We start from the raw sequence: 26,137 nt of genomic DNA, 5'->3' as shown, positions 1-26,137 counted from the left end.
TATTTTTACATAATCAAAAATATTATTTTTTCTCTGTAAATGTGTGTGTATATATAAATATATATTTATATATAAATATATAAATATATATTTATATATAAATATATAAATATATAAAAATATATATATATATAGTTTGTTTGTTGTTGTTGTTTTGAGATGGAGTCTAGCTCTGTCGCCTGGGCTGGAGTGCAGTGGCTCAATCTCAACTCACTGCAACCACCGCCTCCCAGGTTCAAGCAATTCTCCTGCTTCAGCCTCCCAAGTAGCTAGGACTACAGGTGCGTGCCACCACATCCGGCTACTTTTTTTTTTTTTTGTATTTTCAGTAGAGACAGGGTTTCACCATGTTAGCCAGGATGGTCTCGATCTCCTGACCTCATGATCCGCCCGTCTCAGCTTCCCAAAGTGCTGGGATTACAGGTGTGAGCCACCGTGCTTGGCCGTAAATGTGTATATATGTATATATGCCTATTGCATCAAATTGAATTTCTAAGTCTGAATACTGAAATGGATGTTCAACTCTTAGGAAATATTCTAGGTGGTTGCCGCCAACTGCTGGTGAAGATATAATGTCCAAGAAAAGAGGAAGCAGAGATACATCCATGGATAAATGCTGATTAGGCTCAGTGGGGCGGGAAGGGGAATGAAGTATTGAGATGGGAAGCAGATGTCCAATCCCACAAATGAGAAAGCATGAAACTTCCAAGGGACAGGCCCAGATGAAGGTGAGGCAGAGGGAACACTCCCATACTTAGATAAGAAGAAGGTGCCTGCCCTTGACCTCAAAGTAGGCCTGAGACTTCCAAGATGTTCCTGGGCCCCTCTCAGACCAGCGATTCTCCTGCCTAAGCCTCCCAAGTAGCTGGGACTACAGGTGTGCACCACTACCCCCGGCTAATTTTTGTATTTTTTTTTTTAAATAGAGATGGGGTTTTGCCATGTTGTCCAGGCTGGTCTCAAACTCTTGACCTCAGATGCCCCACCTGTCTCAGCTTCCCAAAGTGCTGGGATTACAGGCATGAGTAATGCCTGTAATTGCCATTGCGCCTGGCCAGTAGTTACATGAAATTAAGGCTTGGCCTCCCAAAGTGCTGGGATTATAGGTGTGAATCACCATGCCCGGTCCTTAACAGCCATGTTCTTGAAGAATCTTCAGGATGTGGGAAAATACTCAGGTTACATACATTAAGTGCAAGAGGCAGCTTCGGAACATTCTAGATGATATGGAATGCATTTTGCAAAAGTACAAATGCAGAGGCAATGGGCTCTGGGATAAGAGACTGCTGGGGTCAGAACCTGGCTCTGCTGCCTGCCTTTTGGCAAGTTTTGAGATTGTCTGAGCCTGCTTCTTAGGACTGTTCTAATATTGCTGCCAATGGCTGGACTCTCCCTATAGGCCAGACCCCACACTAAGCCCTTGATGTACGTGAACAAATCTAATGTCAACAATAAAAGAATGACACTGCCGGGATGAAATGAGAGAGTCTGAGAACTCGCCAGAAGGGACCCGGCCTATGTCACACAATCCATGCATGATGGGAGGATTGGATGGGTAGCCCAAAGCGCTGTCACGGGGGCAGGGATTACGGGTGGTTTCTTTATTGTTACACTTTTTAGTGTGGACAATATTGCAACAATAAACAAGCGTGGTCTTCTCAGGAAAAAAAAAAAAGGGATGTGGTGGGTGAGCAGGGATGGGGGTTGGGGGTTGATGCCTTCAGACCTGGCATCATCTATTGATTCATTTCTAAAGACTCCAGGGGAATGAGTTGCATCACAGAACCGGTTATGGGATGCATGGGATGCCTTTTACAGAAGTGGATTCTTAGGTCAAATCCAAGGGTCATCCTAAAAGAGTCCCCAAGTCTATGTGCTCTTCCAGATGCCCAAACCTCCTGGCATGGGGCAGCTGATGGAACAAGGCTCTCAGGGTTTTTTGTTTTTGTTTTTGTTTTTTGTTTTTTGTTTTGAGGCAAAGTCTCTGTTGCCCAGGCTGGAGTGCAGTGGCGCAATCTCAGCTCTCTGCTCTGCCTTCGGGGTTCAAGCAATTCTCCTGCCACAACCTCCTGAGTAGCTGGGATTATGGATTACAAGCGTGCACCACCATGCCGGCTAATTTTTGTATTTTCGGTAGAGATGTGTTTTCGCCATGTTGGCCAGGCTGGTCTCAAACTCCTGGCCTCAAGTGATCTGCCCACCTCAGCATCCCAAAGTGCTGGGATTACAGGCGTGAGCCACCGTGCCCAGCCAATGCGCTCAGTTGAAATGCACTCTGTCCCACTCTCTAGCTGAGTCTCCTTGGACAAGTCCATTCATTCTGCACTTTGGCGTATGGAACACAGACCTCTCTATGCCAGCCTTTGTGTCATGTGCTGCTGATACGCTGTGAGCACAGCAACACAATTCTCGCCTCACGGGCTTATATTCTGGGGCAGAAGTTCTCCATCATGGCAATGGTGCTCCCATGAGATGCTGGCAATGTCTGGAGACATATTTGGCTGCTCCAATTCAGGATGGGGGTCTTCCTGGCTTCCAGTGGGTAGAGGCCAGGGATGTGGCTAAACATCTTACAATTCCCTGGACAGCACCCACTGCAAAGAATGACCCAGCCCCAGATGGCGATGGTGCCCAGATTGAGGAGCCCTGCTCCACGGGTGTGACTCCTGTTCTAGAGGGTCTGCTTTCTGTGTGTACCTCAAGGACTCCCAGGCCTAGTTTTCTTCGCTATATTACGGGGCCGATAACACCTATTTTTGCAGGATATTGTGGATGTTGAGAGGAAGAAATGGAAATGTATTGTGCCTGTTCAGTAAGCCCATGTTCAGTAAGGGACAGCATTTGCAGAAGTCATCTGGCCCAACAACCACCCACTGCCTTCCTATTTTTATTTTTATTTTTGTGAGACAGTGTCTTGCTCTGTTGCCCAGGCTGGAGTACAATAGCACAATCTCAACTCACTGCAATCTCCACCTCCTGGGCTCAAGTGATTCTCATGCCTCAGCCTCCTGAGTAGCTGGGACCACAGGCATGCGCCACCACACCCGGCTAATTTTTGTATTTTTAGTAGAGATGGGGTTTCGCCATGTTGCTCAGGCTGGTCTTGAACTCCTGGCCTCAAGTGATCTGCCTCCCTCAGCTTCCCAAAGTGCTGAGACTACAGGTGGGAGCCACCGTGCCTGGCCTCACCCATTGCCTTCCTAGGAAGCATTTGAAGATAGAGAAAAGAGAAATGTCCCCAGATGCTTTTCACCAGGGCATCCCAAGACCCTTTCCTTTTTGGCCCTTGTCCATGCACAGGAGGGAATTATTATGTAAAGAGGCCTCTGGGCTCCCTGTGAAAATCTGCCCCTTTCCTAAACTCAGGACAAGAGGATGCATTTTACCTTCATAAAGAAATTCCGGCTGGCAGTAGACTTGGCCATCTTCTTCCTTCAGGGCCGTGGCTGTTGTAGATGCCACTTTGATTAAATTTGTGCCCACTTCTGCATTCTGAAAAAATTCAGTTTTCAAAAAGTAAAATAAAAACGTGTAATCCAGAGCAAACATTTGCTTTAGTGTATATATTTTTTAAAATGCTTGAATACATGTCATCTTGGCTTAGCCTCACATTAATCATAGGAAGCAGCTCGTTTCCTGTTGTTATCCTTAGTCTCAGTTTAAAAAATGAGGATTGGCCATTTAAGGTGACTCCTCCAAGGTCACATACCTGGTAGGTGATAGGACTCTTTTCTCTTACTCTGAGCCTGCCTTATCCCTCACAGGGAAAATTAATGTGCTTCTGAGAGTAAGTTCTCACTTTTAAAGTACTAGATGATTCACCTATAAAAAGCTGCATCAGTCGTTAAAAGGATGCTTCTAAAGAGTTTACAACAACATGGGAAATGCTTATCACATAACACTGAGTAAAAGCAGCAACAGGACAAATTGCGTATGCAGTCTGAGCTCAACCACATTAAAAAAGTTACACGGAGAAGAGACAGAGAAATATACTAAATGTGTGTGTGTGTGTGTGTGTGTGTGTCTGTGTGTGTGTGTAATTTTTTTTTTTTTTTTTTTTTTTTTTTTTTTTTTTTTTTGAGATGGAGTCTCACTCTGTTGCCCAGACTGGAGTCCGGAGTGCAGTGGTGTGATCTTGGCTTACCGCAACCTCTGCCTCCCAGGTTCAATCGATTCTCCTGCCTCAGCCTCCAGAGTAGCTGGGATTACAGGTTCATTCCACCATGCCTGGCTAATTTTTATATTTTTAGTGGAGATGGGGTTTCATCATGTTGGCCAGGGTGGTCTTGAACTCCTGACCTCAAGTGATCCACCCGCCTCGGCCTCCCAAAGTGCTGGGATTACAGGCGTGAGCCACCACGCCCAGCCAGAAATATACTAAATATTAAAAATACAACAGATGATGGGATTGGGGGGACTTTAATTTCTTTTTTGTATGCCTCTCTGTATTTTCAGTATTTTCTTCTAGGAAAAGTTATCACTGCAGAAATGAAAACAAACATGCAATAAAAATTATTTGGTGGCAAAACAGCCTTCAAGGACATTTCTTGGTCTCAATTTACAGTCAGATTTTGCTGTGTTCAGTATCTTACTGTCATCAGTATAAGCAAGGGGAGGGATTTAGCATGATTAAATATTTATTGAGCATCTACTACTCCCTGTTTCCCTCATGTACTAACCGTGGGGCCTTGAGCAAGTCAGTTGGCCTCTCTATAGTTCCGTTTCCTTATGTGTATATTAATAGCATATGCATCTTTGAGTTATTGTGCAGACTGAATGACATCATCTGCACAAATGATTCACAAGAATGCCTGCTTCACAATAAGTGCTAGATGAATGTCAGCTGCTTCTATTGATGACGTTGTTATATTATTATTACTATTATTACCATACTACTACTACTATCACTTATTATTATTATATTGCTGCCACCACTACTGGAGGTGACTACGGGTTAGGCTCTGGAAGATATTGAGGAACAAGAGGATGGAACATTATTGTTATGGCTGACTTCTCATTTAAACTTTTCTCTACTTTCTACATTTTCTAAGATAGCTTCTATTTTATTTTGGGACAGGGTCTTGCTCTGTCGCCCAGGCTGGAGTACAGTAGTGTGATGACAGCTCACTGTAGCCTTAAACTCCCAGGCTCAAGTGATCCTTCCACCTCAGCCTCCTGAGTAGCTGGGGGACTACGGGCATGCGTCACCATCCTTGGTTAATTTTTGTATTTTTTGTAGAGACAGGGTCTCACTATGTTGCCCAGCTTGGTCTCGAACTCCTGGGCTCAAGTGATCCTCCTCTCTTGACCTCCCAAAGTGCTGGGATTACAAGCATGAGCCAGTACACCTGGCTCAAAATGGCTTTTATAATTAAAACCAACCTATTTTAGGGATAGCAGCATTTTTGTTGGAGAGCATGAAAAGTTTACTGCAACTTAGCAGCTGAACCGCAAGGGTCCTCGGAAATTTGTTTAATTCAGTCTCGATTTGTAGAAGTAACTGAGGCCTAGAGAAGGAAAGGGACTGGTCCAAAGTCACATGGAGAGAAGCAGACCCTGTGCCTGGGGCCTTTGCATTGATTCTTTGGCCCAGAAGCAAGAGCATTGCTGGTAGAGGGTGAAGGCAGTGCAAAGGCCCTGAGGCTGGTTCTTCCCCAAACCCTGAGGTCTCAGAAGAAACACCCCTTCCCTAACAACTCCATTGGAATCTGCAGTGTCTCCAAGGCACTGGCCCTGAGCTGTAATTATCTCCTTTATGAAGCTCTTTTCCTTATTTTAGCTTGTCTGCCGCATGAAGCCAGGGACCAGATTTTGCTCAGTGCCTGGCACCTAGTGCCCAGGAAGTAATCGCTGAATTAATGAGTGAATGCACAACTCAATAAGCTTTTCTTTGGGCTGTCAAGGGGCAAGACTTGTTTTGCACGGTGGCTGTAAGAATCAAATGAGAGGAAATGCAGAGACAAAGGAGCCCAGCACCTGGCACATCGGTGGCTTCTTAGAAACATTTAGCTGAGTGCGGGGGCTCATGCCTGTAATCCCAGCACTTTGGGAGGCCGAGGTGGGTGGATCATCTGAGGTCAGGAGTTCGAGACCAGCCTGGCTAACATGGTGAAACCCCATCTCTACTCAAAATGTAAAAATTAGCCCTGCGTGGTAGCACATGCCTGTAGTCCCAGCTGCTCAGGAGACTGAGGCAGGAGAATCGCTTGAACCTGGGAGGCGGAGGTTGCAATGAGCCGAGATCGCGTCACTGCACTCCAGCCTGGGCGACAGAGCGAGACTCTGTCTCAAAAAAAAATAAAATAAAATAAACAGAAACTTTCAATGCCTCCACCTCCATGGCTCTGCAAGCTGGTGGGAGGCCCTTCCTGGTACCTTGCTAAGCATGTGACAGCAAGAGACCTCTGGGCACATTCCAGCCTTGATTCTTAGGGAGTTGGTCTGCACAGACATCTTATAACTCCAGCCCCAAACTGGTCGGACTGGTTGAGGAATAAACTGTGAATTTTTCCACACACAGCAATAACAAACATGACTTGGCTGCTTTCAGTGGCCAGCATGCTCAGTTTTAGGAAGACATCACTTTCCAGCCAGAATCCAGCACCATCTTGCAAGCTTACATTGAAATCCCGACACTTAAGGGAACTCTCATAAGAAGCAGTCATCACTGTCATCCCCTAGAATGCTGCCTGCCATATGAAATTCAACGCTGTGGTTTTCCATGCAGATTCGAGCAGACCTCTTTTTCTCAGAGCTAGTTTCCTCCACTGTGTAAAATCGGGGTGGTGATTCATAACTTTTAGTGTGGTGCTGGGTATAAGTGAGGCGGTTTCCACCTGCATCTGAGCATTATGTTAGGATTAAATTAAATAATGGTTGAGAAAAATAGGCTGGTCCAGGGCCACACACATCGTGCAGGCAGACAGGCGTACATTCCAGTTCCAGCTCAAGTCCTGGGGATGATTCTAAAAAGTTGGGCAAGTTACTTTCTCATCTGTAGACGTGGGGGATCATAAATAACTTAGAACATTGTGATGAAGATTAGCAAAGCACTTCACAGCCCCTAAAATTCACAGGAGCCAGGAGGAGAGTACAAGTGGAGGCCCACCAACCTTCTGTCTAAATACACCAAGCAAATTAAGTCCAACACCATCTCTCTCCCTGCCTTGACACGCAGCCCTTCATGATGGCGTGGAACAGGCTGTCCCAAACGGCAATCGCTAGCCATATGTTGCGATTTAAATTTAATTTTATTTTATTTTACTTTTTTTTTTTTTTTTTTTGAGACCGAGTCTCACTCTGTCATCCAGGCGGAATACGGTGGCACGATCTCAGCTCACTGCAACCTCCGCCTCCCGGGTTCGAGCAGTTCCCCTGCCTCAGCTTCCTGAGTAGCTGAGGTTACAGGCATGAGCCACCATGCCTGGCTAAGTTTTGTATTTTTAGTAGAGATGGGGTTTCATCATGTTGGCCAAGCTGGTCTTGAACTCCTGACCTCAAGTGATCTGCCTGGCTTGGCCTCCCAAAGTGCTGGGTTTACACGCGTGAGCCACCATGCCTGGCCTTAAATTTAATTTTAAAATAAGCTTAAGTAAAATTAAAAATTCAATTCCTTAGCTGCACCAGCCACATTTCAAGTGTACAATAACAACTCGTAGTTAGTAGCTACTGTGTTGGACAGACAGAATGTTCCAGCAATGCACTGTGCTGGTCTGAAAGGATGACTGTGAATTGAGAACCCCAGGACTCCTTAGAGTTCTGAGCTGGAATAAGGCAGTCTCTGGCCCTTGGCTCCTTCCTGCCTCATCCCAGGCTCCATCCCTCACTGCGTGGATGCCCTAGCCAGCACAACCAAGGCAACAGCCAGCCCTGGCCACCTCATGGGCCTGTGGCAGGAACAGCAGAGTGGCAGTCTGCCCTTAGGAAGACGGGTATTGGAAGCAAGGCTGGGCCCTTCAGGAGCTTCTGGGATCCCAGGTGTCCAGCACATGGTTGGGGTGGGGGTGGAAGCACCCCTCTGGGTAGTCAGAATGCCTTGGCCCTGTGAACTCACCCTGTGGAGTACGGGTCCTGCTAGAGAAAGAAAGCCTGGACCACAGTCCTCCAAAGTGCCAAACCCAGAGCAGGGGCCCCTCTTGCCAGGGTCTAAGAGCAGAAAAGGCATTGAACACAGAGCCTGGCACCTAGCGGGTCCTCCATGAATGGTGCTTCTCTTACTGGAGTGTCTGCATTTGTGCATTTGGAGACAGAAACCAAACCCACTGATCCAGTCATCAAAGCCATCCCTTCCAGGTCCACAGTGCTTCCTCCTGTGAATGCCCCTTAGGCGTGGGTGCACACGAACCTCGGGCCTCACACAGCGCCCTGCAGCACCAGGGCAGGGCCAAGGTCCAGATGACCCACCCCTGCCCACACCCCTCCCAGCCACACCCCGCCACTGCTAAGCCCTGCCTCAGGCACCCCCACACCGCCCTGCGTAAACAGGCCCACGGTGCCCAGAGGCCCTGCCAGCCCTGCCTTCCTTTGACCCCAGCTGGTCCCAAAGCAAGAGAATCTGGGACATTCAGGACCTCCTGGCCTTTTAAATAGAATTTGCTATTGCCTGTTCTATGTGGGAAGCACTTTTCACTTGGGACGGGTTCCAAAGGCTGAAGGAAGATGCTGCGCCCTTTTAGAGAACTTGCTTCCCATTTTTCATGTATTCATCATTCATTCATTCATTTCAAATATTTAAGAGCACCCTCTGAGTGCAGCAGATGAACTGCTGATGAGACAGAGTCCCTGTCCTCCCAGAACTTAGGCTTGAACAGGAAGAGGGAAATGAACAAGTTACTTACACTTGAGATAAATGTTGACAAAGAGTTACAAGGCGCCATTAGAGGATACGGACTCAGCTGCGGGGTCATGCTGCTGATCCCTGACCTTGGAGGTTCTCTGCCACGGCTGCACTGCAGAATCACTGGGGGTTTCTGAGACCACACCCGGGCCTGGGCTTCCCCGGTCTGGGCGGAAGCCAAGGCCCGGACATGGGGGTCTCAGGGCTCTCCAGGGGATCCCAATGTGCAGCCAGCCAGGGGGAGCAGGAGTGTCAGCCCAGGAGGACAGGGTTTCAGACAGAGGGGAAAGCAATGTCCTGCAAAGGCCTCAGGCCCAGAGGGCATCTGAGTAAGGGCAGCATCTTCCTGAAGTCGCTTCTCCAGTAAACCTCTGGATGGGGTGGAGCCAAAGCTGCTGGATCAGGGCATGTAAGGCTCTGTCCACCTGCCTGACTTTCTGATTTCACTATGCAGGCGGAGCCATTGAAAGTGCAGTAAGAAGACATATTTAAGGGACAATAAGTAGCAATTAAAAAGCGTGGCTGGAGCTACCCATCCCAGGGCTTGCTTTCCTTTGCTAGTTTCAAAGCAGCAGATGGTTCATATGACAGCTTTCTTTTTTTTTTTTTTTGAGATGGAGTCTCACTCTGTTGCCCATGCTGGAGTGCAGTGGCGGGATCAGGCTGGAGTGCAGTGGTGGGATCTCAGCTCACTGCAGCCTCCACCTCCTGGGTTCAAGCAATTCTCCTGCCTCAGCCTCCTGAGTAGCTAAGATTACAGGCAGGGGCCACCACGCCAAGCTAATTTTTACATTTTTAGCAGAGACAGGGTTTCACCTTGTTGGCCAGGCTGGTGTTGAACTCCTGACCTCAGGTGATCACCTGCCTGGGCCTCCTAAAGTGTTGGGATTACAGGCGTGAGCCACTGTGCCTGAACACCTGATGGCTTTTAAAGATACACAAGCTAGGGGGCTGGGCGCAGTGGCTCACGCCTGTAATCCCAGCACTTTGGAAGGCTGAGGCAGGCGGATCACGAGGTCAGAAGATCGAGACCATCCTGGCTAATACGGTGAAACCCCGTCTCTACCAAAAATACAAAACAATAAGCCAGGTGTAGTGGCGGGCGCCTGTAGTCCCAGCCACTAGGGAGGCTGAGGCAGCAGAATGGCGTGAACCCGGGAGGCGGAGCTTGCAGTGAGCCGAGATCACGCCACTGCACTCCAGCCTGGGCGACAGAGCGAGACTCTGTCTCAAAAAAAAAAAAAAAAAAAAAAAGATACACAAGCTAACATTCTTAGCTTGGTTCCAAGGCAGCAAAGCATTCTCGAGCATGACAAAAGGTTATAAAATCTTGTAAGGTGTGGCAGTGGGAGGGAGTATGTTCCTCTCTGTGTACTATCCCTAGGCTGAGGTCAGCCTTGAGACTTACTACCTTTGTGCCTTGTTACTCCTCAGTACTTCCTGGAACCAGGAGAAAGTCTGAGGGGCTGCACTGCGGTGCTTCTGGAGCAAGGGGTGCAGGCGCCCAGGGCTCATGTGCTGATTTCATGGGACGTGGCTGTTCATCCAATAGCCCTGAGTCACATAGGGGAGAAAATCAATGCCTTTTTCTCTTCCAGTTGTTCTGACTAGGTCAAGGAGAGTCTCAGTGCGGTGCCACGATGTCTTTAATGCCTAATACTTTTAAAACTTGGCTTTTTCACAGAGAGATCAGGTCTTGGTAAGCCACAGCCCTCTGGCTGGAGCTCAAGACCTCTGCTTTATTTCCACTATTTTATTCTCATGCTTGTCTTCTCTGTGCAGCAAGCATTGCCAGCTTTCTACTGGGTAGTGATGTGTTTCCTTTCAAATGAGCTAAGTAGAGAGTGAATTGATTGAAATGAAAAAAAAAAAAGGATTTTTAAATGTTAAGTAGAGGTGATATAAAATATGACAAAAACCATGGCAGAGACACACAAATGGCCATGGGTGGGAAAATGCTGGAGAGATGGGAGAGGACCCCAGCTCTGGAGTCAGACAAACCTCAGTTCAAACGCCAGCTCCCCTGCCCGCTGGCTGGGAGGGTGGCTGAATTCCTGCACTGAGAAACTGGGCGGTAAGGGTGGGAAAAGGCTCCCTGGACACTGTAGGACCGTCTGCCAGGCCTGCAGAGTGCCAAGTGTGGCCCATCTGAGGCTCTTTCCTAGGACTTAGGGCTACTGGGGAGAATAGCAGAGTTCCTCCTCCTTCGTAGTTACAAACAGGGGTTTAGGGCCGGCCACGGTGGCTCATGCCTGTAATCTCAGCACTTTGGAAGGCCGAGGTGGGTGGATAACTTGAGGTCAGGAGTTCAAGACCAGCCTGGCCAACATGGTGAAACCCCATCTCTACTAAAAATACAAACAAACAAACAAAAAATGAGCTGTGTGTGCTGGCACATGCCTGTAATCCCAGCTTCTTGGGAAACTGAGACAGGAGAATCGCTAGAACCCAGGAGGCGGAGATTGCAGTGAGCCGAGATTAAACCACTGCACTCCAGCCTGGGTGACACAACAAGACTCCATCCCCCACAAAAAGAAAAAAAAAATGGGGGTTTAGAGACAGACTGGGGCAGGTTCCAGTCTTGGCTCTGCCACTCTGGGCTGTGACCTTGCCCACATTTCTTAACTTCTCTGAGCCTCAGTTTGTTCATCTGTAAAATGAGGCTTCTACAGGGACGTTTCCCACAGGTTGTTTTGATCATTAAGTGAGGTAAGAAAAACAAAATGCTTAGCAAAGTACCTGGCACATAACTTGCATTTAGTCAATGTAAGCCATCAACATTTAATTGAATTGAATTTGGTTTCACTTAAATTAATTAAGTCATGAAGTCAGTGAGTTCTGGAGCCAGAAGCCTTTGTAAGTCTCTGTAAGTAAAGCCCAGAGCCTGGGCCACATCACCCTAATTGGGGATAATGTCTGGCCTGGTGGTCATTCTTAGTGCAAGAACGGAACTTCCAACATCAGAGAATTGTGTAAGCAAATGGTGATGAATCCCTGCCATGAACGATTAGGCAAATGTTTAAAGTGATGTTTCAAAGAATATTTAATGTCATGGAGAGATGTTTCGATACATAAATAGGTAGAAAAGCAGTCTGGGCCGGGCGCGGTGGCTCACGCCTGTAATCCCAGCACTTTGGGAGGCCAAGGCGGGCGGATCATGAGGTCAGGAGGTTGAGACCATCCTGGCTAACACGGTGAAACCCTGTCTCTACTAAAAAATACAAAAAAAAAATTAGCCAGGCGTGGTGGCAGGTGTCTGTAGTCCCAGCTACTTGGGAGGCTGAGGAAGGAGAATGGCTTGAACCTGGGAGGCGGAGCTTGCAGTGAGCTGAGACTGCGCCACTGCACTCCAGCCTGGGCCACAGAGCGAGACTCCTTCTCAAAAAAAAAAAAAAAAAAGAAAGAAAAGAAAAGCAGTCTGTAAGATAGTATGTACCTATTAATCCATAAAAAGAAATGAAGTACTGGCCGGGCACTGTGGCTCACACCTGAAACCCCAGCACTTTGGGAGACGTAGGGGGGCAGATTGCCTGAGTTCAGGAGTTCAAGACCGGCCTGGGCAACATGGCGAAACTTCACCTCTACTAAAAATACAAAAACTTAGGCATGGTGGTGGGCACCTGTAATCCCAGCTACTCAGGAGGCTGAGGCACAAGAATTGCTTGAACCTCAGAGGCAGAGGTTGCAATGAGCCGAGATTACACCACTGCACTCCAGCCTGGGCGGCAGAGCGAGACTGTCTCAAAACAAACAAACAAGCAAAAACCAACAACAACAACAAAAAGAAATGAAGCACTTATACGGACTACAACACAGATGAGCCTTGACAACACTGTGCTGTGTGAAAGGAGCCGGACACAAAAGATCACGTATTGTAAGACTCCATTTATACGTGATGTCTAGAAAGGGCAAGTCTGCAGAGACAGAGAGCAGATGACAGGTTGCCTGGGGCAGGGAGGGGAAGACTAGGAGGTGATGGCTAAGGGGTGTGGGGTGTGTTTTGGAGGTGATGAAAATGTTCTAAAATTTATCGTGGTGGTGGATGCACAACTGTGAAAACATACCAAAGGCTGTCAAACACTTTAAATGGGCAAATTAGGCCAGGCATGGTGGCTCACGCCTGTAATCTCAGCTCTTTGGGAGGCCAAGGTGGGTGGATCACCTGAGGTCAGGAGTTCGAGAACAGCCTGAGCAACATGGTGAAACCCCGTCTTTTCTAAAAATACAAAAATTAGCTGGGCGTGGTGGCAGGCGCCTGTAATCCCAGGTACTTGAGAGGCCGAGGCAGGAGAACCGCTTGAATCCAGGAGGCAGAGGTTGCAGTGAGCTTAGATCATGGCACTGCACTCCAGCCTGGGTGACAGAGCAAGACTCTGTCTCAAAAAAAATAAAAAAAAAAATAAATAAAAGGGCAAATTGTATGCTGTGTCAATTACATCTCAATAAAGCTGTTAAAAATTATGTAAGACAGCCAGGTGCAGTGGCTCACGCCTGTAATCCCAGCACTTTGGGAGGCCGAGGCGGGTGGATCACGAGGTCGGGAGATCCAGACCATCCTGGCTAACACGGTGAAACCCCGTCTCTACTAAAAATACAAAAAATTCTCTGGGCATGGTGGCGGGCACCTGTAGTCCCAGCTACTCCAGAGGCTGAGGCAGGAGAATGGCGTGAGCCTGGGAGGTGGAGCTTGCAGCGAGCAGAGATCGCAACACTGCACTCCAGCCTGGGTGACAGAGCGAGACTACGTCTCAAAAAAAAAAAAATTATGTACAATATGATTAAAATGAAGATTCACACACACACACACACACACACACACAGACACAGAGAGAGAGACTGGGAGACAAACATATATATCCACAGTGATCATCTTCGGTGGTAGGTTTATAGGGATTTTTTTCTCCTTTTTACTTATCTATATTTTCTAAAGTTTTTATTATGAATCGGTACTACTTTGGGAAAAACAATGAAAACTTTTTTTTTTTTCAAGAACAGTTCATTTGGATTTCAATGTCAATCAAATAAGGGCCAAAGTAACTTCCCACCTGGGCCGATATCTCTCTAGAAAGAAAAGGGACCTCCTTGGAAGCCATTACCTTGTCCACGTGGAGGGGCACGGCAAACCTCCTGAGGGTGGGGACCGAGGTGAGCCTGGAGTTCTCCTTGAAGTCCTGGTTCAGGTTGGCCAGGTAGAAGAGCTGGTAGAGGCTGTTGTCCTCGTAGGCAATGACGTCAAACACGATGCAGCCGTCCTCTTCGTAGGCGTTGACGTGATGGAAGACCACCATGGCGTCTGTGTAAAACTTGGTCTGCACAGGCTGCCTGGTCCTTTGGTCGATGATGTGGATATAAGTCTGAAAAAGGACACATATCAAGGGCTCAGCTCACCCTCTCTCAGCCTGGCACTGTGGCATCTGGGGGCTGAACAAAACCCAGCCCCGCCAGGAGCTAGGCTCAGGACTATGTCCCCATTCTGCATTCTGTGTGTGCTCCACAACACCAGACAGGCAAAAGTGCCCCCCAAAATGAGAGCTGTTTATTGTACTTCCATAAGTATATCTTTCAGATGGAGAGGAGGGATGCTTTGCTGCCAGAGTCTTTGCAGTCACTAGGAGGACAGTGTTTGGAGAGACGCTCCAGTGTGCACGGTCCCCTTGTTCCATTGTCCTGACATCCCAGCTCCCTGGCAATGACCAAGTTGGGGAGAATCTGCCAGGTGCCAGGCTCCATCTAAGACTGGAGCCTTGGCAGGGCACAGTGGCTCATGCTGTAATCCCAGCACTTTGGGAGGCCGGGCAGGTGGATCACTTGAGGTCAGGAGTTCAAGACTAGCCTGGCCAACATGGCAAAACCCCATCTCTACTAAAAATACAAAAAATTAGCCAGGCATGGTGGCACTTGCCTGTAATCCCAACTACTCAGGAGGTGGAGGCAGGAGAATCGCTTGAACCCAGGAGGTGGAGGGTGCAGTGAGCCAAGAATGTGCCATTGCATTCCAGCCTAGGCGACAAGCATGGAACTCCATCTCAAAAAATAAATAAATAAATAAATTCACTAGGCATTGTGGCGTGTGCCTATAATCCCAACTACTCAGGAGGCTGAGAGAGGAGAATAGCTTGATACGTAGGCGGAGGTTACAGTGAACTGATATCGCACCACTGCGCTCCAGCCTGGGTGACAGAGTGAGACTCTATCTGAAAAAAAAAAAAAAGAAAAACTAAAAGTGCACGTGAAGGCAGAGATGGTGGAGTAACACAGTGTCAGTGGGTAGCAGTGGCTCCCTTCAGACGTGGGGGTGGATGGGAGGCAGGAGGGGGGAAGTGAGTTGGGGAGGATTTTATACATGGCTTTCTATACTTGTATATTCTTTGAATAGGTAACACTGAGAACTACTGGATATTTTACAAAAGTGAAGTGACAACGCAAAAAAAAAAAAAAAAAAAAAAAGACCAGGTGCAATGGCTCACACATGTAATCCCAGTACTTTGGGAGGGGAAGGGAGGAGGATCACTTGAGTCCAGAGTTTGAGGCTAGCCTGGGCAACATAGCAAGACCCCAATCTCTACAAAACAACAAAAAATTAGCCAGGCATAGAGACATGTGCCTCTGGTTCCAGCTACTTGGGAGGATCACTTGAGCCTGGGAGGTTGAGGGTGCACTGAGCTGTGATTGTACCAGTGCACTCCAGCCTGGGTGACAGAGCAACACTCTGTCTCAAAAACAACCCCCCCACAATAAAAACCCAACAAGTAAATAAACACTAGTAATACATACATACACCCATGCACACGTACATGTATTCATACACATATGCACATACATGCACATATACATGTACACATATACATGCATATGTGCATATACAAGCATGCAATACGTGCATACATACTTTGAGCACTCAGGTGTACCTGAATGGAAGGAGAGGTTTCTATTGAACTGTCTGGTGGAACATACTGTCATTACAATGTCTAAACCTCTGGCCGCTACCGCCCCAACGCTACACACTGGTAGCAGACATGGTTAAGGGGTCTTGTCAACAGGGCGGAGGTGGGGAGGAGCCCAGCTCTCCATAAGGACTGAGGACTCACTCCTTTTGCTGCTGGGCATATGGGGACTGCCAGGGCTTCCATGTTTGCCCAAGATGGCACCCCCTTGCCTGGACAGCCTCATCCAATAACTCATCACCGTGGGGGTACAAAGGCCTGGGGGCCATTCTGAAGGACCATCCAGCTTCAGAACTTGCTGGAAGGTGGGTAGATGCCTCTGGTAGCCTCCTCCCTCTTCCATGCCACTTCCTTGCCTTAAACTTCACCCTCCTGCACACCAGCCTCCCTCCATGGTCAGCCAGCACCCACTGGGCTAGAGTCCAGCCAGACCTCACCTTCTCCTCCCTGTGGAAAGCCAGGCAGGAGGCCCAGCTCATTCTCCGGATGTATGCGGTTGCCATCTTGAGAATATCCAACCTGAAAGGCTGCTCAAGGAAGATGACATAGTTCTCGGTGACTCCAAAGCTGTGGTAGTAGCTTGGGGAGAGCAGGGAGCGGGATGGGATGGAGCAGAACACCTCTGTGTGCTTCCAGGGGCTCTTCCCCTGCTTCTTGCCCTCTAGCAAGACAAAAAGCAAGCCTCAGGAATTGTGCAGGATCTGGCTGCCCCCCCAAGACCACACCACCATCACCTACAAACTGACTTGATTGCTGAAAAAAACCTTTACATTAAACAGCAACGTGTAGACAGACAACAAGGTTGCTGCAGCTGCTGCAGGGGGCCAGGCTGAGACCTTCCACTCAGCACCCACCCCATATACAATCTGAAAACCACTGAACCAAGAGGGAGCCCTCCAGGTAAGGGGTCTTCACCTATAGCCTGGGGGCTAAATCCTGCCTCCACCGGTTTGTCTGAGATAGAGTCTCCCTCTGCTGCCCAGACTGGAATGTAGGGGCACGATCTCAGCCCACTTCAATCTCCGCCTCCCAGGTTCAAGCAATTCTCCTGCCTCAGCCTCCCGAGTAGCTGGTACAATAGGCTCACGCCACCATGCTTGGCTAATTTTTGCATTTTTAGTAGAGATGGGGTTTTGCCATGTTGGCCAGGCTGTTCTCGAACTCCTGACCTCAGGTGATCTGCCCGCCTCGGCCTCCCAAAGTGCTGGGATTACAGGTGTGAGCCACTGCGCCCGGCCATAATTAGGGGTTTTATATAAATGCAGATAGTCAAGCGGGGCTGTAGAATGGCCATTTTATAGATGGGAAACTGAGGCTTAGTGGAATGGGCTATCATTATGGTCAGAGTCATAGGGTTAAGCCAAGAAAACACAGCCCCCTTCGCCTTCCTCCTCTTTTATCAGGGATTACGACTCTCATACAGTGAAGGTAGAGAACAGAATGAAATAAAGCAGTCATCCATGTGCCTCGCCCTGCACCCAAACATGGAAGGTGCTCAATACGTGTTCAGTTTTCTTATTCCTCTGCAAGCATGAGTCACTCGCTGGTCAAAAGGCCTCCCCACCCAGGCCTACGGCTGGCTTATAATGAGTTATCTGCAAACTTCCCCACCTCTCTTGTGGCCACCTGTGCACCCTGTAAACAGCTGGCTGGTGGGAGGGATGCTGTGGGGTTGTGGGATAGTTATCGTCTTTATAAAACAAATGGAACACAATGCAAACTGAAACGAAAAGCACTGTGGCCTGGGAGGAGCAGGATGGGGCATGAGTCGCAGTGCCACCGCCAGCATGGAGCAGGTGCTCAGAGGATCTCTGCTTGCAGGATGTCAGTGGCTCCTGGGAGCTGTGTGACTGGGGTGTGTCATCTGATCCCCTGAGCCTCACAGTCCTCCTCTGTAATACAAGGTGGCAAACTCAAATGCCTAGACAATCCCCAGGTATGGCATTCTAGGATTCTGAGCTTGACCCCTATATCCCTTTACTGGCTTAATTAATGAGAGTTCTATTTAGCAAGTACACTCCGTGTACCTTCTGACCTCGAAGGCTCATATCTCCAGGCAGTGCCTGGTAGTTTGCTCAGGGGGCTCTACAAGACAGTGGGGGATGGGGGAGCAGCAAGGATCACAGGCAGAAACTAGTTTTTTTTAAACTAGAAGGTCAGAGGAAGCACCGTTGTAGTTCTGCACTGTCTCCTGAGTCCTGTCAGCTGTCCTCACAGGCCTAGGTCTCCTGGGTGTGGTTCCCAGGAGGGTCCTGGACAAACATGGGCTAAGAGCCTCCGCCTCCTCCCCCTCAGGATCATGCAATCACAGTCAGCCTGGGCTTTGCTCCAAGATCCCAGCCCCACATGGAGAAGGTCCAGAAGGCCTGGAGAACAGGGCAGGGATCTGGAGTGGATCCCAGCAGGACTGAGCTCCCTAAACAGCCCTGGAAACTTGGCTGCAGGGGCTAGGAATGAAAGTAGGTGGCATAACCTTGTCATAGAAAGTTTTGTCAGGAGACTGAAAAACTGAATGGATGGAAGGATGAATCGATAGGTGGGTGGGTGGGTGCATGCATGAATCGGTGGATAGTAGACAGATGGATGGTGGGTGGATGGATAGATGGTGGATGGAAGGATGGTGAGTGAATAGATGGGTGGTAGATGCACATGGTAGATGGATGTTGGGTGGGTGGATGGATGGATGGTAGATGGATAGATGGATGAATGGTGGGTGTATAGATGGTGGGTAGATGGATGAATGATGGATGGATGGGCAGGTGGGTGGCTCAATGGATGGATGGTGGATAAGTGGATGAGTGGATGGATGGCAGAACATGTAGATGGATGAATGGATTCATGGTGGGTGGGTGGATGGGTAGGTAGATGGATGGTGGATGGATGGTGGGTGGACGGATGGATGGGTAGATGGTGTGTGGGTGGATGGATGAATGGATGGATGGTGGATGGGTGGGTGGATGGATGGATGAATGATGGATGGATGGGTGGGTGGGAAGCTCAATGGATGGATGGATGGTGGGTAAGTGAATGGGTTGATGGATGGGAGAATGGGTAGATGGATAAATGGATTCATGATGGGTGGGCGGGTGGGTGGGTAGATAGATGGTGGATGGGTGGTGGGTGGATGGATGAATGGATGGATGGTGGATGGGTGGATGGATGGGAGAATGGGTAGATGGTTGAATGGATTCATGGTGGGTGGATGGGTGGATGGGTGGGTAGATGGATAGTGGGTAGATGGATGGATGGAGGGATGGTGTGTGGGTGGATGGGTAGGTGGGTGAATGGATGAATGGATGGATGGTGAGTGGCTGGCTAGATAAGGGGTGGATAGGTGGATGGGTGGACGGATGGTGGATGGGTGATGGATAGGTGGATGAATGGTGGGTAGGTGGGTGGATGGATAGTGAGTAGCTGAATGAATGGTGGATAGATGGACGGTGAGTAGATGCATGAATGGATGGATGGTAGATGAAGGAATGGTTGGATGGTAAATAGATGATGGATGGATGGATGGTAGATGGGTAGATAAATTAATAAAATAATAAACTGGAGCCTAAATAAAAGGAAATTAGAATAGTAAAGGGATTTCTTTCTTCCAAGAGGAATCCCAGCATCTCCTCTTCTCTTCTAAAGGAAAGTACTGACTTCATGGTCCACCTCAATAATCTACGGGAGAAAGTACCACACTGGATCTTGTGTCATCAACGAAAAACAGAACTCTTCAGAAGAAGCCACACTTGGTTGTTTGTGTTTTATTCAATTCCCCAGAGTGGCCTACCTGGTACTGTGGCAGGGATCTTAAAAATCACATACTTTGTCTTCCCCTTTTCCACAATGGATGTGCCCATGTTTAGAACATTTCCAGCCTCATCATAATGGGGATGTGACGTTGCCAGATTTACCGCCACGTATTTACGATAATCAACCTGCAAGATATGACACCTCCTGTTTTTTAAAGTATTTACGATAATCAACCTGCAAGATATGACATCATCTGGTTTTTCAAAGGAGAAAGGTTGAAGTCCTATGAAAACGTGACTGATTCTAGGTTCAGAGAGATGAGGGATATTTTTGCACTCTGTTGATCTGAAAACGATACAGAATTTGCTTTTAAAGAAGACTTTCACTCTTGTGACCTTATACAACCTCACATGGGGATTTGAGGGACTCAGACAGCTAATAGGTTGCAGGGGAGTTAGGGAGCTGGTGTGCTTCTGTGGCTATCGTTCCAATCCTGTTGCCTGACCTTGCTGGAATCCTCAACATGGAAACAAGATTCCTCACTGCAGAAAGCTCTGAGCAATGACCTGGGCAGAGAGGTAGCCTTCGAGCTAATCTTGGCCACAGTTCTGTCATTCTGGCTTAAATTCTGCCCTTTTGCATTGCACAGAAGCATAAATCTCTAGGCCTCTCTTAGACGATTATTCTGGGAATGGAGAGGTTACAAAAACATTTGGTCAAAGTGAAGTTTGATCAACGAGCTGAATAATGACCCTCACTCTGCAGTCCACAGCTGCAGAATGATGGAGTGGCCGCAGACCAACCGTCTGCGCTTCCTCCCCTAGAAAAACACAACCTCCAGCCCAGAGTCAGATAACTCCTTTCTCTTCCAGCATTTCCTCTCTGTAGCCCTGTGGAAAGCATCATCAGTTGGACCGATGCCGTCTAGCTTAAAAGGAGCTGGACATAATTTCACAGCTAAGAAAAGCCTCATCTCTTTAACAGATCGTTAAAACGTATTGCAGAGACATCGGAATTTTGAACAGCCAGCTGGAGAAAATTGAAAGTGGGTCTATTGATTCCCACCAAAATGTTGACTTGATTCTTCCCAGGAAAGGTATGTGCTTGGGCACTGATTTTTGTGCCCTAGCTTTTTGCCTAATGCCTCCCTCTTCAGGTCAATAGAAGGTAGGATTGCTGAGAATCGCAGGCATTTCAACAGTCATTCATTCAAATTCTCAGTGAACTCCCTCAGTGCCAAGAATTATGAACAGAGTTATGGGTTGAATTGTGTCTTGCAAAAAAGATAGGTTGAAGTCCTCACCTTGGGTACCTGTGAATGTGACCTTACTTGGAAATAAGGTCTTTATAGATGTCATTAAGTTAAGATGAGGTCATACTGCACTGGGGTGGGCCCTAATGCAATGACTTGTGTCTCTATAAAAGGCAGAACATGGTTGGGTGCAATGGCTCACGCCTGTAATCATGAGGGCCAATCATGAGGTCAGGAGATCAAGACCAGCCTGGCTAACACGGTGAAACCCCATCTGTACCAAAAATACAAAAAATTAGTGAAGTGTGGTGGCACGTGCCTGTAGTCCCAGCTACTCAGGAGGCTGAGGCAGAAGAATCGCTTGAACCCAGGAGGCGGAGGTTGCAGTGAGCTGAGATCGCACCACTGCACTCCAGTCTGGGCGACAGAGCAAGACACTTTTTCAAAAAAAAAAAAAAAAAAAAGGCAGAACATTTGGACACATAGCCCCATAAGGAGAGGCAGTGTGAAGACTGAGGCAGAGGCTGGAGGGATGCATCTACAAGCTGAGGAACACCAGGGGTTGCCGGCAACCGCTAGAAGCCAGGAAGGGGCCAGGGAGGACCCTCCTCTAGAGTCTTCAGAGAGAGCATGGCCGGGCTGACACCTTGGTTTCAGACTTTTAACCTCCAGAACTGTGAGAGAGTAAATTTCTGTTTTTTTATTTGTTTGTCTTGTTTTTTTTTTTTTTTTTTTTGTTTTTGTTTGAGACAGAGTCTCACTCTGTCATGCAGGCTGGAGTGCAGTGGTGCAATCTGGGCTCACTGCAACCTCCCCCTCCTGAGTTCAAGCGATTCTCCTGCCTCAGCCTCAGAGTAGCTGGGATTACAGGCACATGCCACCACGCCTGGCTAATTTTTGTATTTTTGGTAGAGATGGGGTTTCACCATGTTGGCCAGGCTGGTCTCAAACTCCTGACCTCAGGTGATCTGCCCACCTTGACCTCCCAAAGTGCTGGAATTACAGGTGTAGGTCACCACACCCAGCCAATTTCTGTTGTTTAAAGCAATCTTTTTTGTAGGACTTGGTTACATCAGCCCCAGGAAACTGATACAGACACGAAGATAAAAACAACACAGTCCCTGCCTAGCATCTAGCAGTAAGTGTGGCGCTAGGGCACGGGATCCAACGGTGTTAGAGGAGGGGCTCCCCTGGTAAGCTGCTTGCAGGCTGAGCAACCTCACCCCGGCCGTCGCCGACTCTCCCTTTCTTGAGTCAGGAAGTGATGCTGGTTACATATGTGTTGATACCTTCTCCAGGGTTTCCAGAGTCTGTGGGTTGATTTTCCTGATGTAATTGGTCTCTGAGGTCGCGTAGAAGTCTTCTCCGCACTTCATGATGTTGATCAGGCAGTTGTCGGTGAAATCGGGGATGGTGTGAGACAAGTAGGAGAAAGCTCTGGGGAGAAAAGCAAATCAACAGAGTCAGTGGCTATGTCCACCCAGCCAGAGAAGTCTATCCTTGATGGCTTTAGTTTTCCTACCACTTAAAAATGCTTTACTTCGGCCGGGTGCCTGTAATCCCAGCACTGTGGGAGGCCGAGGCAGGTGGATCACGAGGTCAGGAGATTGAGACCATCCTGGCCAACACGGTGAAACCCCGTCTGTACTAAAAAATACAAAAAATCAGCCGGGCGTGGTGGCAGGCGCCTGTAGTCCCAGCTACTCGGGAGGCTGAGGCAGGAGAATGGCGTGAACCCGGGAGGCGGAGCTTGCAGTGAACCGAGATGGCGCCACTACACTCCAGCCTGGGCGAAAGAGCGAGACTCTGTCTCAAAGAAAAAAAAAAAATGCTTTACTTCAACTAAGGAAGAAAAAGCAACTGGGTCCCAATGGGTCACCTGAGGAATCCTAAGAACTCAGACACCCCAAAGACACCTCCACGTTGAGTTAGCTAAGAAATGAGTCGGCCGGAATGCCATGGTCACCAGCTGATCCTCCTGGGCTCCCCAAAACCCAAAGGTCTCTAACATCAGAGCCAGCAAGACATACTGTTCCAAAGTATGTCAAGAAGCTCTACGGAAATCGTATATGAACCCGTAACGGCTCCCAAAGCCTAACAACGTAGCTGATATCTGCTTTGCCAGGAATGTGAGTCCACACTGGTTATCTCGAATTTATCCAGGAAATTAGTTTTTAATTTAAAAAGGAAAACAAACTAATTATGAGTTAAGAACACATAGCTCATTTGATCAGAAGGTATACTCAAAGCAAGAAGAAAGAAAAACCAGAGGGGTTTATGGGTGATGAAATTGGCAAATCCTGTATCGGTGTATTGGGGAGTGCTCCTCCTACTGGCAAACACTGGAACAAAAAGGAGGCTTGGTTCCAGGACCTCCAGGTCGTGGTTTCAAATTCGTGATCCTGCTATCTCCCCTACCAGGTAAGTATGGTGGTTTTAAATTCCTTTGCTCTTTCCTCCTCCTTTCTCACTGGCTCCTACTCCACACCTCCTATTTGCAAATGTGAATTCAGTGCTTGCTCTGAGCTAGCCCTAGAGCTGGATACTGGAATGGGAGAGATGACTTCAGTTCTCAAAAAAGCAGAAGCAATCTTCCATCTCTGGGCCAGTCCACCCTTCAACTCTTTCATAACTCTTCTACATCTAGAGAGTTTCAGAAAGAAGATACTGATGGCAGGCCTGATTCCCTGGCCAAGAATTTAACTGTCAGATATGTAACACATTCATATGGATACTAATCCAGATGATTTAAAATGTATACAGTGGCCAGGCGCAGTGGCTCATGCCTGTAATCCTAGCACTTTGGGATGCCAAGGTGGGTGGATCACCTAAGATCAGGAGTTCAAGACCAGCCTGATCAACATGGTGAAACCCCGTCTCTACTGAAAATATAAAAATTAGCCGGGCGTGGTGGTGGGTGCCTGTAATCCCAGCTACTTGGGAGGCTGAGGCAGGAGAATCACTTGAACCTGGGGGGCAGAGGTTGCGGTGAACTGAGATTGCGCCATTGCACTCCAGCTTGGACAAGAAGAGTGAAACTCCATCTTAAATAAATAAATAAATGAATAAAATGAAATGAAATGAAATAAAATATATACAGCAAAAAATCTCTCCCTCTCCTCAACATCCATCTGCCCCTGTGCATCCTTTCCTAGTTTCTTTATGCATGTACAAGCAAAATTTAATTTAGATTTCTTACTGCTTTTTCACACAAAGTACAGCTTATAACATGCTCTTTCTACACCTTCCTTTTTTTTTTTTTTTCCACTTAGTCTATCTTGGAAAAGCTTCTGTAGAGTGCAAAGAGAACATCCTCATTCCTTTTTACTTCTACATGGCATTTTCTCGTACAGTTTTACTGTTACGGATTTAACCAGTCCTCTTTTAATGAACATTTGGGTTGTTTTCAGCTACTTGTTATAACAAATGATGCAGCCATAAATGACAAATACCTGGTGCATGTGTCATTTTCTATGCAAGTAAGCAGATCTCTAGGCTGAAGGGAATACGCATTTATAATTTTGACAGATGATTCCAAATCGCTTTCCCACCAGCCATGTGGGAGGGCTTCTAATAATTTGTCAAATGCTCTTAGTCTCTCTGGCAATCAGTGATCAAGAACTGTGTAGCACCTCTGGTTAAAGGGCAGTCATGTGGAGTTTTCATCTACCCTAAAGAGAATTGTCAGAGGAGCAAATGCTGGTTATTTCAGCCATCAAGGATAGCAAAAAGCATGAAATTTGCTCAGATTTAAAATAGGCAGTTACTTGGAAAATATGTTTTTGCAGGGGTCCGGATAGGCCATTGTTCCAAACTCAGACACCACAATCCTGTTTGCCTCAATATTGGTGTTGTAGGTATCGCTTCTCAGGTATTTGCTCCTGTAATAGACTTCACCTGCAAGAGAAGAACCAGCATAATCTCAGGCTGACGCCTTCACAGGGCTTTAAAATCAATGTCAGTCCTTGTATGGGTTTTACTGGGAGAAGAAGGTGGTTATTTCACTAGGACAAGCTCCTTTAGTACACAGGGCCGATACAATTCGCATTTTAAATATAATTTTATTTATTATTATTATTTTTTTGAGTTTTGCTCTTGTTGCCCAGGCTGGAATATAATGGTGCGATCTCGGCTCACTGCAACCTCCGCCTCCTGGGTTCAAGTGATTCTCCTGACTCAGCCTCCTGAGTGGCTAGGATTATAGGCATGCGCCACCACGACCAGCAAATTTTTGTATTTTTAGTAGAGATGGGGTTTCACCACGTTGGCCAGGCTAGTCTTGAACTCCTGACCTCAGGTGATCCACCCGCCTCAGCCTCCCAAAGTGCTGAAATTACAAGCGTGAGCCACCATGCCCGGCCTGGAATATAATTTTAGACACACATTTTCTCACTCCTGACTCACAACAGTATGGCTGGATAAGTATGTGTTACGGTTTGAATGTTTTGTTCCTTGCAAATCTCATGTTGAAGCCTGTGATGTTGCAGGTGGGCCTAGGAGGAGGTGTCTGGGTGATGGGGGTGGGTCCCTCATGAATGGCTTAGTGTTGTTCTGGTGATGAGTGAGTTCTCACTCTATTAGTTCATGCAACATCTGGTTGTTTAAAAGATCCCTCCCTCCTCTCTCTCTCTCTCTTTCACCATGTGACATGCCTGCTCCCCCTTTGCCTTCTGCCATGAGCCAAAGCTTTTTGAGGCCCTCGCCAGAAACCAAACAGATGCTGGTGGCTTGCTTCCTGTACAGCCTGCAGAACCGTGAGCCAAATAAACCTCTTTTCTTTATAAATTACCCGGTCTTGGGTATTCCTTTATAGCAATGCAAAATGTGATAATGCAAAATATGTCAATGCAAAATATGTCTGTTCTTAGCTCCATTTTCCATAGGAAGGAACTCAGGCTCAGAAACATTCTTTCACCTTGCCCAGGGTCACCCATCTGAGAGTGCTGACCAGAATCAGTCATCCCTTCCACCCTGTTTGTGTCCCTCCAGGGAAGGAGCAGAGCTGGAGGACTAATCTAGAAGGCTGCATATGTGGGGTGGTTTTCCCCAGGGCCCCGTTCAGTCCTGGGAGCGCTGCCTCCAGAAGCCCAGTTGATCACTTCAGTCTCCCTGGAGTAACGTTTGATATTGAACACAACCAGGAGGTGACCTGATGCCCAATCCTGCATAGCAATAGAGGGTCAGACCTGTGTTCAATGTCTAATTCATCCAAATTCTGCAGAGAGTCTAACTCATGGCATAAATCTCTTGACCAGTCCATTGAGACCAACCTCAAAATATACCAGATGGTTCTAGACCCGTGTTAGTTTTCTACGGCTGCTGTAACGACTTACCCCTCACTTAGTGGCTTCACACAACATA

At 47.7% G+C, this 26,137-nt stretch overlaps 1 protein-coding gene across 7 annotated transcripts in view; it reads right to left on the bottom strand.

Annotated features, from left to right (window-relative positions):
* The window catches only part of BCO1 (beta-carotene oxygenase 1), a 52,454-nt gene that overhangs the window by 6,794 nt on the left and 19,523 nt on the right, over positions 1 to 26,137 (bottom strand). For 4 of the 7 annotated variants that reach the window (NM_017429.3, XM_017023287.3, XM_017023286.3 and 1 more), the window contains exons 3-8: positions 24,544 to 24,673; positions 22,066 to 22,213; positions 19,562 to 19,709; positions 16,218 to 16,441; positions 13,933 to 14,190; positions 3,387 to 3,492 (exon numbers count right to left, since the gene is read on the bottom strand). In NM_017429.3, coding sequence (NP_059125.2) covers positions 3,387 to 3,492; positions 13,933 to 14,190; positions 16,218 to 16,441; positions 19,562 to 19,709; positions 22,066 to 22,213; positions 24,544 to 24,673 — 1,014 coding nt within the window. Of the gene's footprint in view, positions 1 to 3,386; positions 3,493 to 13,932; positions 14,191 to 16,217; positions 16,442 to 19,561; positions 19,710 to 22,065; positions 22,214 to 24,543; positions 24,674 to 26,137 lie in introns of those variants that run through there. The other 3 variants (XM_011523109.3, XM_047434214.1, XM_017023289.2) reach the window with 3 other exon arrangements.

The sequence above is a fragment of the Homo sapiens genome, chromosome 16 (genome assembly GCF_000001405.40).
Source record: "Homo sapiens chromosome 16, GRCh38.p14 Primary Assembly".
Taxonomy (NCBI): domain Eukaryota; kingdom Metazoa; phylum Chordata; class Mammalia; order Primates; family Hominidae; genus Homo; species Homo sapiens.
Note: the sequence above shows the minus strand (reverse complement) of the source record. Positions and strands in the feature narration are given on the sequence as shown.